Genomic DNA, 13,373 nt, shown 5'->3' with positions numbered 1-13,373 from the left:
GATAAAAGTTCTTTTCTTTTCTCATAGATGTAAAGCCACTAGTTTTGCAGAGTTCACGAGGATTAGAAGTAGTATAAGTAAGATAGACCAATGCTCAGCAGACGGAAGGTGTGAGAAATACTAGATGTTATATTAGAGGATGAATATCCTCAACAGTGCACACCTCAACATTCAGTACACAGCCAGCATTATTTGTATGTATTCTTGGTACCAAGAAGAGCCAAAGAATAATATGTAGGAGGACAAGGGTCCTCCTTGCCAAGCTTTTTACATGCGCTGCTTAGAAAAGCCAGATTTTGATAATGGGGAAAGGGAGAGAGTCAGCGGCTCTGTCACAATAACTCAGTCTGATAGGCAGTCTTGCCTAAGTGAAAAACCAAACTGCTTCTTTGCTTATAGTACAAGAAAATTTTGGCCAAGGGCATTCTACTGCATGGGATCTGGCCAAAATTGTTCTTTGGTAAATGCTGTACTCAAACAATGGGCATAAGTAAAATCTCATCAAATTGTTTTTAAAAATAAACAGTTTGCAGAAGAGTTACAACAACCATCTACAGTTTATCAAAGGAACACATTTAAGTCAGCTGCTCTAAGGCTCTTAGAGGGCAGGAGCTTCAAACATAGCTCAGTATTTTTCTTTGTCCTCCTCCCCTCCCACAGAATAAATCCTGACACTGGCCAGGCGCGATGGCTCACACCTGCAATCCCAGCACTTTGAGAGGCCAAAGCGGGCGGATCACCTGAGATCGGGAGTTCGAGACCAGCCTGACCAACATGGAGAAACCTCATCTCTACTAAAAATGCAAAAAAATTATCCAGGTGTGATGGCGCATGCCTGTAATCCCAGCTACTTGGGAGGCTGAGGCAGGAGAATCTCTTGAACCCGGGAGGCGGAGGTTGCAGTGAGCTGAGATAGCGCCACTGCACTCCAGCCTGGATGACAAGAGCGAAACTCCATCTCAAAAAATAATAATAAAAATAGAATAGAATAATAAATTGTGATACTAAGTGGGCCTGATTAAAATACCCAGTAATTCCGTCCTCTGTACCATCTATACCTACTCTCACCTGCTGGTTCATCACTTCAGTCATAAAGAGACCCATTTGGTTTTCTAATCATTTTCCCCAAAAAGCTTTCTTCCCAGTACATGGACTCAGTTTCCCATGAAAAGTTAGTTAGGCACCTTAAAAATACAAGATCACTTCTCAAGCTCCTGAAGAAGAAAGTATTGTTGTTTATTATACAATAACCTGAGCCAATTTAGGGATTACTGTGCCCGTTTAATGAATAACTAGATTTACAACAGTAATGTAAGATGGCTTCTAGTAGAATGTCATGAAAAGCAACTGTAATCATTATAAAAGCAGGAAATAGCCCCATTTAGATTAAAATGGCTCATTCCATTGAATATTTTCATTAGTTAAACTTATTGTTGGGGGAAGGTGTTACAATTACAGATCCAGCTCCTTAATTTAGAATACTCAAAGATGAAAATTAAAAGCAGAATAACAAGAATATGGAAAAAAGAAAAAAACTAAATGTAGAAACACAAACCTTCACGGGAGCCTCCAAAAGAGGTATGTCCACCCCAAGGGGACATAAGATAATCCGTTAGAGCCAGGAAAAAAACAGATTTTATATTTGGATTTGTCATCTAAAAAGAAACTAAGATTTACTAATATTTAATATACAAATTGACAGTAGAGTATGTTTATAACTTATAAATATATATAAATACATATATAAATATATATATATATGAGGAAGGGGCACATACAAAACTTTCTGCTAATAGGAATGACTGGAGCAACAGGTGAGACCCCTGAGATAAACGACCCCTTTTGGCTGGGTTTACTACCCTACACTAAACAAGGGGCTGGATGCCGTGGCTCACGCCTGTAATCCCAGCACTTTGGGAGGCTAGGTGGGTGGATCACCTGAGGTCAGGAGTTCGAGGCCAGCCTGACCAACATGGTGAAACACCATATCTACTAAAAATACAAAATTAGCCAGGTGTGCACATGCCTATAATTCCAGCTACTTGGGAGGCTCAGGCAGGAGAATCTCTTGAACCCGGGAGATGGAGGCTGCAGTGAGCCGAGATCATGCCACTGTACTGCACTCCAGCCTAGGAAACAAGATTGAAACTCCAACTCAAAAAAAAAAACAAACAAACAAACTCAAGGAGCATACCCCATAGGCAGCCTCCAGTTTCAGAAAGCCCTTGGTAAACCAGCCCTGCCCACCCCTCCACTGCCCCTCTGACCTGAGCATCAAGACCTCTAAACTGACACACTCGTCTGCTCCTGTGTAAATGTCTGTTTGCCTGCCTAATTCTAGTCACGCTTTAGGTCTTAGCTGAAAGGTCCCTTCCTCCAGGGAACCTTCTAGATTACCCATACCCAGCCTAGGGGCAGGTGCTCCTCCTTTTCAGAGGGCTTGGCACCTAGATCCTTGCTACTTACAGCACGGTGCACAGACAGCAGGATCTGAAGCTGACTGGAAACGCAGAATCCCAGCCTACACCCCAGCACCTACTCAATCAGACCTGCATTTTTAACAAAGTCCCCAGGTGATGAGCATGGGCCTGAAGGTTTGAGCAGCTCTCCTCTGCATGGCTCTCCCTGCTTGCTTGTCTCTTCTCCTCTGAGCAGTATCTGAGGCAAGCAAAGGACATGATCCTCTCATTCCTGTTGTCCTAGCACCCAGCACAGGGCCTGGTTCAGAGATGGGCTTTCATATATTTGTTGAATGAGGAAAGGAAGAAAGGATCTTGGGAGACATCTTCATCAGACGTTCTGAACTTGGAGAAAGGGAACAGCTAACACACCAGATGACAGCAATAGGATTCCAAAAATATCTGGACTGGCCAGAGAATAGACAGAAGACAAGACAAAGTCCTGGACTTGGGTCCAAAAGCACAATATTCATAGTGATAATGACAACACTGTGCTATAACTTAACCTCATCAAATATAATGCTCCCAGCAACTCTAAGATAGCAACTATTTTGCTCTTGCATTTTATAGACAGGGAAGCAGGCACAGAAAGGTTAAAGCAGTGGACTAGAGTTGCACAGCTGGTATCAGGCAGAGTGCGGATTAGAATCCAGACAGTCTAGCTTCAGACCGAGGCCCTGAATCACTAGGCTACATCCAGTTTTGCCTAGGATATGCTACCTGGAAACTGATGTAGCAAAGTTGGCTGGGTCCGGTGGCTCACGCCTGTAATCCCAGCACTTTGGGAGGCCGAGGCAGGTGGATCACGAGGTTGGGAGTTCGAGACCAGCCTGACCAACAAGGTGAAACCCCATCTCTACTAAAAATACAAAAATTAGCCAGACATAGTGGCGCACGCCTGTAATCCCAGCTACTCAGGAGGCTGAGGCAGGAGAATTGCTTGACCCCGGGAGACAGAGGTTGCAGTGAGCCGAGATCACGCCACTGCACTCCAACCTGGGCGACAGAGCAAGACTCCATCTCAAAAAAAAAGAAAAAGAAAACGCAAGGTGACTGGCACCCTGACCATGGAGCTACTGGAGGCAGGGCCTAAAGGCTCCAGGCCCTGGGTATCTGCTCCCCTAAGGAGCAGGGCAGCCATCCTCAACTAAGCCAGCAGCCCACTCCATGGTACCTGCCTCACAGCACAAAACCAGGACCCAAGAGACACAATTTGGCTCCAAATCAAAGCCCTCCTTTAGCTCAGACTCTCCAAGAACGAAGGCGGCTGCCGACTGGCATGCTGGCTCCGCCGTTGCTGGGAGAACTCCACAGAGGCCCAACCACCATCTGGAAGTGATTTGGCCCAGAGATTCCTGAAAGGGGTGGGAGGCTGGAATGACCAGACGCCTGGAGCTCCCTGTCCAGCTTGGAAACAAAGCTGGTGTGAATGGGCCCTGGAGGCAGCCATAACATAGCAGGGGGCAGCCCCTTTCAAGGAGGTGACACCCTCTAGGCAGTCCATAGCCGTATTTTAGCAAGTAGGATCAACCTTAGCCAACCAAGCTGTTCTCCCCAGAGCGCGCTGATTTCAAATGCCCTTTCAGTGTGCAAACCTTTCCGGCATGACTTTTGAGATTATTAAACAGTGCCTTATTTAATTAACAGGCATTCACAGAGCACTTACTATGTACCATAAACTGTGCCAAGCACTTTAAAAATTATTAACTTGTTTAATCTTTATAACAGCCTTTTAAGAAGGTAGTTATTATCCCCATTTTAGTGATAAGGAAACCAAGGCACAGAAGTTTCTAATAGCTACTTAGTGGCAAGTGGGATTTGAACCAAGAATCCTTGCTCTTAACTACTACACAAGTGACATTGAATGCTAATGTGCCACCTTGTACATGGCCCACAACTTGTTATTAATAATTCTGACAAAGCATGCTACTTTGCTACTTTTTTTTGAGATGGAGTTTTGCTCCTGTTGCCCAAGCTGGAGTGCAATGGCATGATCTCAGCTCAACACAGCCTCTGCCCTTGGATTCAAGCTATTGTCCTGCCTCAGCCTCCCACGTAGCTGGGATTACAGGCATGCACCACCACGGCCATCTAATTTTGTATTTTTAGTAGAGATGGGGTTTCTCCATGTTGGTCAGGCTGGTCTCAAACTCCAGACCTCAGGTGATCCACCCACCTTGGCCTCCCAGGGTGCTGGGATTACAGGCATGAGCCACCACGTCCGGCCAACTTTGCTACTTTTTAAGCACTCTCTGTACTACCCAAAAGACATGCTGGCATCTGCTAGACATGCAAGAAAGAGCAGAACTTAAGGTTATTTGGAAATTATTTTGGTAGTAGTAGCACAAAAGGGAGAGGAAGGAAAAGGAGCTGACTGGACCAGTGACCCACCACCCTGGAAGCTGCCTAGTGACCCGAAGTCTTGGGAACACGCACCCTGCCTGCTCTGGCGCTGGCCTGGTTTAAGTCAGTCAAGTAAACTTTAGGGTTAGACCACATCCTCTGAAAAGGAAACAATTCCTTTCTCTAAAGGCCCAAAACAAAACACACCACCCAAACTTCTAGGCCTTGATCATCATTCTTGGGCTGAGAGACCCCTTTTCCTCCCAGCTGGCTGGACTGCCCCATGTCAGAAAGGTTTTTGGAAAAACAAGTAAATAAAACTGCCAACTCCTGGCAAACAGCTGGAATTAAAGACACTGAGTCCTCACTATGAACTGCCCATCACATAACAAGAAACGTAAGGAAATTTTCAACTTTTGGATGGCGCCTAGGGGCCTACCTTACAATGAACCACAAATGTGAATCAATAGCCAGGGTTGTCTTTCAGTGAATTCTAGGCAGAAAAGCCAGAGTCCTCTGGCAGCTGTTGAAACACCACCTATCTCAGAGCTGGAGGCATGTACACAATTCTAATGACTCCACAACTGTCTGGTCTTATCCAAAGCATACAAAACCCTGTATTCATTCAATGATACCTTCCCTGACGATGGAATAAAACATCATCCATTGGGTAGTAGGAAATCTCAACCAACCAACCAAAACACAATGAGGAAAACACAAGAGGCAAACTGATCCCACTTAATTCCCGGCTGACTCTCAACTTGTGAGACCTTCATCACAGCCCAGAGGATTCATCCTGCCAATCATGGAAGGCCCTGACATCCCTATTTTGTCCAAGGTCAGAGGTTCAGAGTGTGGGTATCCAGCCACCACCCTAACACCTAAGACTTGCAAACCTAGTGTTGCAGGGACCCTCTGATGTGGAGAGAAAAGCTGTATTTTACTCATCTCTGAAACTGGAAGGCAAGTCAGTTAAGGCTCCAATTCAACAGCTGGGCAGACCTGGGTTTCAGACACCATTTACTAGCTAGCTGGGTCACCTCCACAAGTGGCTTCACTCCTGTTTCCCATCTTTAAATAAAGATAATAATACTAACCATGGCAAGAGTATGATCAACCAAACAGAAACAAACAACCAGGCTGTTCTCCCCTAATTTTGAACGTCCCTTCGGTGTGCAAACCATTCGGGCATGACTTTTTTTTTTTTTTTTTTTTTTGAGTCAGAGTCTCGCTCTCCCAGGCTGGAGTGCAGTTACACAAAGACCTCGGCTCACTGCAACCTCCACCTCCCGGGTTCAAGCAATTCTCCTGCCTCAGCCTCCCGAGTAGCTGGGACTACAGGTGTGCACCACCATGCCCAGCTAATTTTTGTATTTTTAGTAGAGCTAGGGTTTCACCATGTTGTCCAGGCTGGTCTCGAACTCCTGACCTCAGGTGATCCACCCACCTTGGCCTCCTAAAGTGCTGGGATTACAGGCGTGAGCCACGGCATCCAGCCCTGGCATTACTTTTGAGATAATTATTAGACAGCACCTTATTTAATTAACAGGCGCCATTTTCTAAGCAACACATGCCCAGGACAGTGTTAAGCCCTGAACTCTCTAAGTGACTTGCAGAAGCAGATCATTAGAGATAGGGCAGTAGTTGCTGTCAATCAATGATTAGCATGAAAATTCAATGGGGTGATCAACAGAACACACTTAACACCCAGTAGGTGCCCCCAAATTGAAGCTAGTGTCATTGTCAGCACAATGTAACACAACCTAAGCAGTGAATATATGAACCTTAGTCCAAGCTGGAGGTAACTTTGCCTTGAAGGATGAAGGACCATTACCCACAACAGCCTCAAGAGCTTAGGGAAGAAGCCTCCTGCTTTATCCCCACAGCAGTCCTGGCACTTGCCAGGGCTCTCTGTGGTCTCCAGAGGCTGGAAAACCTGTTTGTTGCAAGATCTCTCGGGAGAGCAATTAGGCAGCCAATGATACAAGTCATAAATGTGGTCACACCCTTTAACCCAGGAATGTCACTCTGGGGAATATGATCCAAGAAATCATTAAAAAGGAAAAAAATAGAATGCAAGTTGTGGTAGGAACAGGAAGAAGCTGCCAACAGCCCACAGGCCCAGCACAGAGGAAGGGAAGCTAACTAACCCTGGAACGTCGGGACAATGGGAGTAGCTAGGGCCTGAGTGGATTCGAAAATAAAAGGAGGACCGGGCTGGGCGCGGTGGCTCAGGGCTGTAACCCCCGCACTTGGGAGGCCGAGGCGGGCATATCATGAGGTCAAGAGTTCGAGACCAGCCTGGCCAACATGGTGAAACCCCATCTCTACTAAGAATACAAAAATTAGCCGGGCGTGGTGGCATGTGCCTGTAATTCTAGCTACTCAGGAGGCTGAGGCAGAAGAATCGCTTGAACCCGGGAGGTGGAGGTTGCAGTGAGCAGAGATGGCACCATTGTACTCCAGCCTGGAGACAGAGCAAGGCTCCATCTCCAGGCGGGGCGGTGGTGGGGAGGGGGAGCAGGGAATCAGGAGAACCATGTAAAAAAATGTAGACAAAATCTAGAATGAGACCCACAGCCCCGGGCACTGATGAGAGACAGTGCTGGAAGTAGCTGCTGCCTCTGTAAACAGTGGGTAGATCAGGCAGTCTGTGATTTGCTAGTGCTGCGGTTTGGTTTGGTTTTGTTGTTGTTTTAGAGATTTCATGTCGTATTTGGATACTTCTGGTTTACTTTAAGTTTCTTTATTCAGTTAATTAAATAAATACACATTTTTAAAACAAAGAACAGATCCAAATTGAGCCCAGCTGGGCCTTGGGATTCTTCAGAGGGGAGGCTGGTTTCTGAATGGTAAAGAATTCCAGGAGATTCTGAGGTTCTCCCTCCCCAGTACAGGAGATGGACCCCAGAAAGAAGACAACAGCGTGCCATGCAGATTCTTCTGCAGGGAAGCCACCCTTGGGGAGGGGGAGGGCTGCTGGAGATCAGCTGGGTGGTGCGGCTGCCATCTGGGCCCAGGAAGCAGGAAGCAGCCTTACCTGCCAGGACAGGTGTGGGGGAAGGGAAGGGTGAGGCCCTAAGGCCCAGGGGAGGCTCAGCCTAGAGGGAATCCCTTTTCCACTGGAGAAAGTCCTGGCAGCCACACCCATCTCCCTTTCTTCCTGTCACTAGGGTCACTATAGTGACCTGGTTTCCTCAGGAAGAGACCCAAATCACAGGCCAGGGCCAGTCCCTGGTTCTCCTTAGGAAGAGATCCAGACCCAGAACCCTCCTCTGCCCCAACCCACACCCACCCACCCACATACACACACACACATACACACACCCATACACACGTGTAGGTGGATACACATTCTCTGCATACATTCCGTGTACATGCAAACTCTTTGCATATGCACATGCTATACACACATGCTATGTGTGTACACACGTTCTCTGCACAAACGCCCACATGCACACACACATCACAGCCCCTACCATCACAGCCCACACTATCAGTAGCCTTGTGGCCCTCTGGGAAGCCTCCAACTATCTCAGACCACAAGGGAGACTTCATCCTTATTCTTCCTCCCCAGACCAGAAGGCCCAGTCCAGCAAGAGACACCAATTCCCTCCCTCCTTTCAGGAAGACCCTGGTGTAGGTTTGGGAGAGGAGAGGAAAACAAAGCCTCCTTCTAACTGTTGCCCACTTCCTTCAGTTCTCAGCTGGGCCCTACTTGCTGACCTTGGACAGGTCAATTAACCCTCCGGACCCCCTTATCTGTAAAATGGGTCTAGCCTCACCCCAGATGGCAGGATGCGTAGGGACGGAGATAACTTAGAAGGCTGACGGTACACAGTGGACGCTAGTTGGGCTCCCTACAAGACAGCAATTACTGTTACCACCACCATCTCTAAATTATAACTTCGGCAGCAAGGAGTGGGTTCAACCTGCGGCGCGCGGCCAGAGCTGAGCTGGGAGCAGAGAGAGCGAGGACACACACCCGCGCCTACCCTTGCAACCTCGGGGCCCACACCCATTCCAGCGACGGCAGGGGAAGGTACCAGGTCTCTGTCTCCACCTGGGCAGGGAGGCCCCAGGCGCAGAGAACGGTTCCTCCTCAGGTCTCACGGCCCGGCCTCCGAGCCAACGCCCATTCAGCTGCCTCTGAGAGCACCAACCTGGGCGCAGCAGGGAGAGCACTCCGCGGAGCATCTGACCCTAGGGCCCGCCCCCGGGGACAGCGAACGAGGGTTTCTAGTCCCCTAGCTCCCATAGGGGCGCCCCAGGTGTAGAGAAATGCAACAACTCCACCTCTCCTCCTGTGACCCCAGCCCAAACCCTCAACCCTTAGCCAGCCAAAGGTGCACTGCTGGGGCGGATGGCGGGGAGCGATCACAACAGGTCCCATCCCAGGGGAAGACACCGGGGAGGGGGTCTAGGCCCCCTATAACCCACCCCTGGGGACGACTCCCCCTTATCTCCGAGGTGGGGGCGCGCTGCGGGAAATCCTCGCCCTCCGCAGGGGTGCACGCGCGGGGGCGGGTCGGCACCACAGTGGGCGCCTGGGCCCGGCCAGAGAACTCACCGATGGACACGAGCTTGATGCTCTCACGGTCCAGGAACTCGAGCGCCACGGACACATTCTCGAGCTGCATCTGGCGAAAGGTGGGCCGCTGATGGTACTTGCGGTACATGCGCTTCTGGCTGAGCACCTCGAGCAGCGCGATGAGCCGCAGCCCGTCGCTCAGGTCGGTCTGCAGGTTGCCGATGCGTTTGTTCACGCACTTGAGGTGCTCGTTGCACCAGCGTGTGAACGTGTTCTGCTGGATCTTCTTCCAAGGCGCGTCCTCAGCTAGATCCTTCTCGGTTACCGGCATCCTGGTGGCGGGGAGAGCGCAATGCGCAACGAGCTGCCGGGGACTGGTGTTTGGAGGCCCAAGGGCCGAAGGAGCGAGAACCGAAGCGGAGCGGGAGCGGGGTTCGAACTTGCTGCTACCGGAGCCACGGCCGGTGCTGCTCTGCGGCCGCCCGCCCCTGGCCGCGCGAGGCGCCTGGCCCCGCGCCTGCGCGCTGAGCCGCCCCGCCCCCAAGCCCCGCCCCGTCCCGACCCTCCCGCGGGAGTTCCTGGGCCACGCTCGCCTCCTGCCGCCTGCCGCAGGCACTGCGCCCCACTGCGTCCTGGGACCCGCGCTCGAAGCCCACCACCCCAGCAGGATGTAGGGCTGCCTGAATCACCCGGTCAGCCCCGGGGTGGGGGGACCCGCGGGGGCTGGGAGCCGGACAGAATGGGTCGGGCCTCAGTGGGACTTGCGGGAGGGGCGCGCGGGGCGGAGGTCTTCATCCACATATAGATTGAATAAAATTCAGTAAGGGCTTTTATTGAGCTCCGCCTGTGTACCAGCCATTCTTCTCAGAGCCTGCTAACCAGTAGTAAATCAGACAAACGTATTGCACAACCTCAAGGAGTTCACACAGCCTAATGGAAGAGAAAAGTGTAATTCCACCATAACCAACAGCCCAGTAGTGGTGGTAAAAATGAACAATAAGGCTTGTTGCATGTCTTAGTTTCCAGTTACTGCTGTAACAAGTTACCAAAACTTAGTGTCTTTGAAAACACACACCCACAAATGTATTATCCTTCAGTTCTGTAGGTTCGATGGCCCACACAGGTCTTGCTGAGCTAAAAACAAAGTGTTGGCAGGATGCATTCCCTTCTGGAGGCTGTAGGGAAGAATCTGTTTCCTTGTGTTTTCTAACTTCCAGAAGCTGCCTGCGCGCCTGACTCCTGCCCCTTTTCTCTGTGAAAGCCTGCAATGGGCTGGGCACAATGGCTCACACCTGTAATCCCAGCACTTTGGGAGGCCAAGGTGGGTGGATCACCTGAGGTCAGGAGTTCGAGACCAGCCTGGCCAACATGGTAAAACCCCATCTCTACTTAAAATACAAAAATTAGCCAGGTGTGGTGGCGCGTACCTGTAATCCCAGCTACTGGGAAGGCTGAGATAGGAGAATCGCTTGAACCTGGGAGGCAGAGGTTACAGTGAGCTGAGATGGTGCCATTGCACTCCAGCCTGGGCGACAGAGCAAAACTCCGTCTCAAAAAAAAAAAAAAAAAAAAAAAAAACAGAAAAGCAAGCCTGCAATGTCAGGTGGAGTCTCTCAGACCTCAGACAGTCCTCTCTCCATAGGCACATCTTCCTTTTTTTTTTTTTTCCTGCGATGGAGTCTTACTCCGTTGCCCAGGCTAGAGTCCAGTGGTGCAATCTCGGCTCACTGCAACCTCCTCCTCCTGGGTTCAAGCAATTCTCTTGCCTCAACCTCCTGAGTGGCTGGGATTACAGGCACCCGCCACCACGCTCCGCTAATTTTTGTATTTTTAATAGAGACGGGCTTTCACCATGTTGGCCAGGCTGGTCTTGAACTCCTGACCTCAAGCGATCCACCAGCCTCTGCCTCCCAAAGTGATGGGATTACAGGCATGAGCCACCTTGCCCAGCCTTTTTTTTGTCTCACTCCGTCTCCCAAACTGGAGTGCTATGACTCAATCTCGGCTCCCTGCAGCTTCAACCTCCCCACACCTGGCCCTTTTAAGGACTCTTAAGATGACATTGGGCCAGCTGGTTAGTCCAACATGATCTCCCTATTTTAAAATCAGCCGATTAAGAACCCTAATCCTGTTTGCAACCTTAATTCCCCTTTGCCATTTAAGGGAATGTTCACAGGTCCTGAGAGTTAGGATGTGAACGTCTTTGGGGGCTATTACTCTGCCTACCACAGCATACATTGAGCACTTACTCTGTACTCATCCAGGTTCTGTGCTAGGTTCTGAGATATGGCAGAGTCTCAGGCCAGCCCTCTGTTGATAAAAGCCTGAATAATTACAACAGCAAGCATTGAATGAACACCTGCTGTTCCTCTGTGCCAAGCACAGTGCAAAGCAATTTCTTTCAAGTCGGGTGCAGTGGCTCACACCTGTAATCCCAGCACCTTGGGAGGCCAAGGTGGGCAGATCACCTGAGGTCAGGAGTTCGAGACCAGCCTGACCAACATGAAAAAACCCTAGCTCTACTAAAAATACAAAAAATTAGCTGGGCGTGGTGGCGCATGCCTGTAATCCCAGCTACTTGGGAGGCTGAGGCAGGAGAATCGCTTGAACCCAGGAGGCAGAGGTTGTGGTGAGCCAAGATTGCACTCCAGCCTGGGCAATAACAGTGAAACTCTGTCTCAAAAAAAAAAAAAGAAGAAATAACCGAGTGGTTGAGCGGCTTGCCCAGGCCACACAGCACAGTTAGAACCATAATGCAAGTCTGTAAGAGAGGCACAGGGTGCCCTGATACCAGAGAAGGGGCTCCTAACCCGGTTTGGGAGAGGAGTTCAGAGCAGGCAAGCTTCTGAGGAAGAGAGGTTGACCAGGACAGAGGGCAAGGGCTTGCAACTTTGAGGGTTGCTCAAAAGAGGCCAGCCAGTTTATGGGTAGAACCATTCTGTAACAGGTTATTTGCATACAATCAATGCCAGAGTGCTTTGTTCAGACAGATGAACTGACTCACTGGAAATGGTCACAACAGCCTGGGGGAGAGAATATATTACCCGGCCCTGGCTCACAATAGGGACTCAGTAACTACACTCATGTGTTGCTTAACAACAGGAATGCTAGAGGATTTTGTCATGATAGGAACACCAGAGAGTGTGTTCACACAGACCTAGATGGTACAGGCGACCACACATCCAGGTTAGAGGGGATCACCTGTTGCCCCTGGGCTACAAACCTGTACAGCAAGTTACTATATTGATACTGTAGGCAATTGTTACAATAAGTATTTGTGAATCTAAACATTAAAAGGGTATAATAAAAATACGATATAAAAGATAAAATTGGGCGGGGCGTGGTGGCTCACACCTGTAATCCCAGCTCTTTGGGAGGCCAAGGCGGGTGGATCACTTGAGATCAGGAGTTCGAGACCAGCCTGACCAACATGGCAAAACTCGGTCTCTACTAAAAATACAAAAATTAGCCAGGCATGGTGGCAGGCGCCTGTAATCCCAGCTACTCGGGAGGCTTGGGTAGGAGAATTGCTTGAACCCAGGAGGCAGAGGTTACAGTGAGCCAAGATCGCACCACTGCGCTCCAGCCTGGAAGACAGAGAGAGACTCCATCTCAAAAATTAACTAACTAAATAAATAAATAAAAAGATAAAAATAGTCTACCTGTATGGGCACTTGCCATGAATGGAGCTTGCAGCACTGGAATTTGCTCTGGGTGAGTCAGTGAGTGAGTGGTACGTGACTGTGAAGGCCTAGGACATTACTGTGCACTACTGTAGACTTTATAAACACTGTACACTGAGGCTATACTAAGTTTATTTTTTTAATCTTTTTCTTCTGCAATAAGAAATTAACCTTAGAGGCCGGGCACGGTGGCTCACCCCTGTAATCCCAGCACTTTAGGAGGCTGAGGCGGGTGGATCACGAGGTCAAGAGATCAAGACCATCCTGGCCAACGTGGTGAAACCCTGTCTCTACTGAAAATACAAAAACTAGCTGGGTGGGGTGGCACGCACCTGTAGTCCCAGCTACTCGGAAGGC

General features: G+C 49.4%; 1 protein-coding gene across 4 annotated transcripts in view, besides 4 other annotated features; it reads right to left on the bottom strand.

Moving 5' to 3' along the window:
- FLNB (filamin B) overlaps nucleotides 1-9,807 on the bottom strand; it is a 163,830-nt gene extending 154,023 nt beyond the window's left edge. For all 4 annotated transcript variants that reach the window (NM_001164317.2, NM_001457.4, NM_001164318.2 and 1 more), the window contains exon 1: nucleotides 9,373-9,807. In NM_001164317.2, coding sequence (NP_001157789.1) covers nucleotides 9,373-9,664 — 292 coding nt within the window. In that variant the 5' untranslated portion in view covers nucleotides 9,665-9,807. The remainder of the gene's footprint in view (nucleotides 1-9,372) is intronic.
- Nucleotides 2,572-3,085: an enhancer, noted in NCBI's record as "H3K27ac-H3K4me1 hESC enhancer chr3:58000871-58001384 (GRCh37/hg19 assembly coordinates)". NCBI's record gives its function as "activates a minimal SCP1, AML or CMV promoter by ChIP-STARR-seq in primed H9 embryonic stem cells {active_cell/tissue: H9 hESC(primed)}" and the evidence as "EXISTENCE:reporter gene assay evidence [ECO:0000049][PMID:30033119]".
- Nucleotides 3,086-3,598: an enhancer, noted in NCBI's record as "H3K27ac-H3K4me1 hESC enhancer chr3:58000358-58000870 (GRCh37/hg19 assembly coordinates)". NCBI's record gives its function as "activates a minimal SCP1, AML or CMV promoter by ChIP-STARR-seq in primed H9 embryonic stem cells {active_cell/tissue: H9 hESC(primed)}" and the evidence as "EXISTENCE:reporter gene assay evidence [ECO:0000049][PMID:30033119]".
- Nucleotides 3,599-4,112: an enhancer, noted in NCBI's record as "H3K27ac-H3K4me1 hESC enhancer chr3:57999844-58000357 (GRCh37/hg19 assembly coordinates)". NCBI's record gives its function as "activates a minimal SCP1, AML or CMV promoter by ChIP-STARR-seq in naive H9 embryonic stem cells {active_cell/tissue: H9 hESC(naive)}" and the evidence as "EXISTENCE:reporter gene assay evidence [ECO:0000049][PMID:30033119]".
- Nucleotides 4,139-4,639: an enhancer, noted in NCBI's record as "H3K4me1 hESC enhancer chr3:57999317-57999817 (GRCh37/hg19 assembly coordinates)". NCBI's record gives its function as "activates a minimal SCP1, AML or CMV promoter by ChIP-STARR-seq in naive H9 embryonic stem cells {active_cell/tissue: H9 hESC(naive)}" and the evidence as "EXISTENCE:reporter gene assay evidence [ECO:0000049][PMID:30033119]".

Source organism: Homo sapiens, chromosome 3 (genome assembly GCF_000001405.40).
Source record: "Homo sapiens chromosome 3, GRCh38.p14 Primary Assembly".
Classification (NCBI taxonomy): Eukaryota; Metazoa; Chordata; class Mammalia; order Primates; family Hominidae; genus Homo; species Homo sapiens.
Note: the sequence above shows the minus strand (reverse complement) of the source record. Positions and strands in the feature narration are given on the sequence as shown.